The sequence below is a fragment of the Homo sapiens genome, chromosome 1, assembly GCF_000001405.40.
Source record: "Homo sapiens chromosome 1, GRCh38.p14 Primary Assembly".
Taxonomy (NCBI): Eukaryota; Metazoa; Chordata; class Mammalia; order Primates; family Hominidae; genus Homo; species Homo sapiens.
In genome coordinates, this window is record NC_000001.11 from 204,025,889 (window position 1) to 204,030,466 (window position 4,578).

Consider the following 4,578-nt stretch of genomic DNA (forward strand, 5'->3'; position numbering starts at 1 on the left):
CATCCATCTGGTTGGCCACTCTGCACCCAGCACCTTGCCTGCTGCCTGGCACACACCAGGGCACAGTGAATACAAAAGTGAACAAGGGGCAAGTCCAGGGAGACTGAGTGGAGGTGGAGTTGAGGGGCTCCAGTACTATCTAATCTCCCCTTGCAAAAACTGGGGGTGGAAAGTCCATGGGGAGAGAGATCTGGAGCAGGCTTAGGGCGGTGGGAGTCTGAATTGCCCTCATTTCCCTTTCTGCTCAGCCCTGGTGGGGAAGGTGCTGGGAAGGGGAGCCAGGCGTCACTGCCCCACTGCTACAATTAGCTGAGCCTTTCATTCTCCCTCTACAAAGAGGAGAGAGAAAATCAAAGGGAGATAAAAGTGAATGTCCCACAAAGGACATCGAGATGAGGGGGAAGGAAGGGAGGGTGGTGGGAGTGAGAGGCAGAGGCAGAGAGAACGCCCTGCGGCCCAAACAAAAGCCTAAAACCAGCGGATCCCAAGCATCAGACGGTAGAGACATAAGGACAGGAAGAGACTGGGCCGCGTGGGGATCGGGCAGCCCATCAGCCAAGGAGGAGAGGGAATGAAGAAAGATAAAACGCCTATGTGAATGGCCAGGGAAGAGGGTGGACAGGGACCCCGGATGGAGTGAGGACAAAAGCATGAAAAGACAAGATCGCCACCATCCCGTGAGCCACTCCACCGGGGCAAAACAAAGAGGAGCTGGAGACAAAGGCAGAGGGAGGAAGGTGGAGAGGGAACAAACTGGTCCTGCATTGGCGACAGGGCTGTCAGCGTGGGGCTTAGCAGTACATTCTCCAGAGTGGTCAGCTTAGGCTCTGGTGGGAAGAGGTAATCGGGGTACTGGCCTATATTTACTGAAAGATTAAATGAAAGAAATCCTACCTGATTAGGTTTCTTGTTTTTGAACTCTATAGCAGTGGAATTTAAGAAATGAACAAAACAAATACAAGGTAGTCTTGAGCCTTCCAACACGTGTGAATTTTGTGTCTGGCTTCTTTTCTGGACATTATGTAGAGTGTAGTGCAGCTAGGTCATTGTGATTGCTGTGTAGTATTCCATTGTGTGAATATGCTACCATTTGTTTTCCTATTCTTCTATCTGGTGGAGGATTTTAATTCAGGTCCACGATCTCTTATCTGAAACCTTAGGGCTAGATGTGTTTCAGAATTTTAGTAAGGTAAGATGCACATACCCTGTATTACACAACTCCCAGAGCAAGCTCTGTGGCAGTTCCCTCAAATCAAGCACATTAATATTTCTGCAAGGAAATGAATGAAGATTCACCCTATAAATAGCTTCACCTCAGTTCAGGTCAGGTTTTGCTGCCAAATAAGTTCAGGCTAGATCAGGTTATGCCATCAAGTAAGAGATGACAGAGTTTTGGTTTTCATGGCTTTTTGGATTTCTGAATTGAGAGTTAGGAATTGTGGACCTGTATTTTACTAGTTCCCAATAACATTTGCTTTGGAAATACAGGCAGAAGATGAATTGGATAGTACCTCATGGACATCAGCAAAAATCAGAAGTCAGAAATAATGGCCCCAAGGTGTTTAAGCAGTGAGATGTTGCCTAGAAGGGCTCTGGAGTTGGTTAAAGGGGGTTTCAAACTCTGCCTTTGTGTGGGAGACCAGGAAGACCCCTGCAGGCTGCTGGCCGCTCAGGTTCCATTGCCTGGGGCTATTTGAACATTGTAAACCTTTGTTTTTATAACCTCAGCTTCTAATCTCATAAATTGTTGATTGTATTTTTTTGTATAATTTTAAAAGCTTATTTATCTCTTTTCTCCTTTTCATCTTTGAGTCCTCTAGTTCTGTTTTACTTATCTTGATCATTCCTTATCTCTATTTTGTTCTTTATGATTTTATATGACATTCTTTCATCTCATCTTATCTTCTCGCTTTTACTGTTATTGTGCTGTTTTTTTGTGACTGGCGAAAAACTCCTGGGGTTTGGAGAAGCAGACAGTGGTAATTTGTCCCCTGACCTCCCTGGGAGCCAGATTGCTCTGTACTTGGGAACGTTTCCTTCCTTAGGGAGATTTCTGTGTGGTGGGGAGCCCCTCAACATTTAATCTCAAGCCTTGACCAAGCATTGCTCCTGGGACTTTTGAAGCCTTGGTCTCAAAGCAGGAAGCTGTTACAGGTGATGGGGATTTAATTCTGGGCAAATATTTCTTTGTTCTGGAAGACCAGACCCTGGGCCTCAATGACCCAGCATAGATAGCCTTTCCTGGCCCACATATGGGTGGGCCTTAAGAGGCCCACGTCAGCCTCTTAAGAGCTCAGGAGTGCTCTATGGTGAGGATGCAACAACATGTACCAGTTAATCTTTCCCCTGGTGATAGCAGCTTCTTTTCCATAGGGAGGTAGAGGGTGTTGTGCCTGTAAATCACAGAGCAACGAGTGAGGATTTGGCCCAGTTCTAGCCATTGCTAGATGGGGCACAGAGAGGAAGCTGCCAGCAGGATAGCAAGGCATAATATTCTTCCCAGCTTGGCAGAGGTGTCCTTTATTATATTTATTTATTTATTTATTTTGAGACAGAGTTTCGCTCTTGTTGCCCAGGCTGGAGTGTGACGGCGCAATCTCAGCTCACCGCAATGTCCGCCTCCCAGGTTCAAGCGATTCTCCTGCCTCAGCCTCCTGAGTAGCTGGGATTACAGGTATGTGCCACCATGCCCAGCTAATTTTTGTGTTTTTAGTGGAGACAAGGTTTATCCATGTTGGTCAGGCTGGCCTTGAACTCCTGACCTCAGGTGATCCACCCGCCTCAGCCTCCCAAAGTGCTGGGATTATAGGCGTGAATCACCGCACCTGGCCTGAGCCACCGCTCCTGGCCAGAGGTGCCCTTTACAGCCAGACTAAGAGGACCTTAGACACACCCAGGGGCATGCTTTCGTCTCCTCATGAGGCTATGCCAGGTTGAAGAACCCCGACCTTGGGAAATGTATTCCTGTGAGGAGAGAGGCCGGTTAAACCCTCTGCTCAGAGCTAAGGCAAGGCCTGCTCTGTCCTTTTGTTCTGTAGGGAATGCACATCTGACAATTACCCTAGCTGTGGGCAGATCCTTAGAAGGATGTGAGACCAGGGAGAAGTGGCCTGAGAGTGCCTTGGGGCTCAGAAGGTCCCCCATAAGAAAGCCTGAAGATCACTCTCTCTCCGAAGGGAGAAGGCAGGCCTGAGAGGCAAGGAAGCAGACTGGGAACGGGGCCGCAGGGGACTCAGAGCCAGCGTACCTGGTCATTGCAGGAACACACACATCTCCACGTTCCAAAGCCCCTCTGAGGGGCCCAGGTCTTCACTCAGATTGTCTGAACAGCCCCACCAGATTCCAGCTCGGCCATCAGGAGCAAAGGATCAGCCCGTGTCCTCACTTAGGACTGAGCAGCAAGGCGAACCCTACCTTCGCGGCCCTCCTCGTGCTGGGTGCAGTTCAGACTGTGGGCTTGGGGGGAACCTGTGGTTGTGCTTGGCAACCTCCAGAGTTGACTGGCCTTGGAGGGTCTCAGGCTGAGTCGGGGGCTATTTTTAGTTCATTTAATCATTTAGTTGCTTACTGTCTTTTATATCGTTTTAATAATCTTTTTTATTTCTTTTAATTTACTTTGTCTCTTTTATTGTCTGCTATATTATTTTTTCTCTTCCTGTTTTCTATTTTTTCATCTTAATAAACTGGATGCTGGGAGTCTAGGCCTCTGGGGAGATCCATGAGGCAGCCCTTGCCCCCAGGCAAATGAAGCCGGATGCTCTGCCCTCTCTGATGGCCCCCAAATCCCCTTACCAGGCACCTCACATCCCCATTGACTCTGCTGACTCGTAAAAACCTCCACCAGTGGAATTCAGGAGCCCCCAGGCCAGAGTTGTCCCCAGGGTGATGATAATATATTTACCTACACTTACACACATTTGAAGTATAGGAAAATGTTGGTAACCCTTTTGCTATTGTTTTTGTTTGTTTTTTGAGATGGAGTCTTGCTCTGTCACCCAGGCTGGAGTCCAGTGGTGCAATCTCGGCTCACTGCAAGCTCCGCCTCCCAGGTTCGTGCCATTCTCCTGCCTCAGCCTCCCCAGCAGCTGGGACTACGGGTGCCTGCCACCATGCCCAGCTAATTTTTTTGTATTTTTAGTAGAGAGGGTTTCACCGTGTTAGCCAGGATGGTCTCGATCTCCTGACTTCATGATCCGCCCACCTCGGCCTCCCAAGGTGCTGGGATTACAGGCGTGAGCCACTGTGTCCAGCCACCCTTTTGCTATTTTTATAATTAGAAAGTTAATACATGCTCATCATCAAAAAATATAAATCTAAAAGTGTATGAAGTAGAAAATGTAAGTCCTCTGTTTCCCCCAAATCCTTGGGAGAAACCTTGCTAAGATAATACATGTGTGGAACTAAATCTGCAGCCTAGATATACACTTACCCATTTAAAATTTGATAGGTGGCTGGGCACAGTGCTTCATGCCTATAATCCCAGCACTTTGGGAGGCAGAGGCAGGCAGATCACCTGAGGTCAGGAGTTTGAGACCAGCCTCACCAACATGGTGAAACCCCATCTCTACTAAAAATACA

At 48.1% G+C, this 4,578-nt stretch overlaps 1 annotated feature.

Moving 5' to 3' along the window:
* Positions 563 to 1,112: an enhancer, noted in NCBI's record as "H3K27ac-H3K4me1 hESC enhancer chr1:203995579-203996128 (GRCh37/hg19 assembly coordinates)". NCBI's record gives its function as "activates a minimal SCP1, AML or CMV promoter by ChIP-STARR-seq in naive H9 embryonic stem cells {active_cell/tissue: H9 hESC(naive)}" and the evidence as "EXISTENCE:reporter gene assay evidence [ECO:0000049][PMID:30033119]".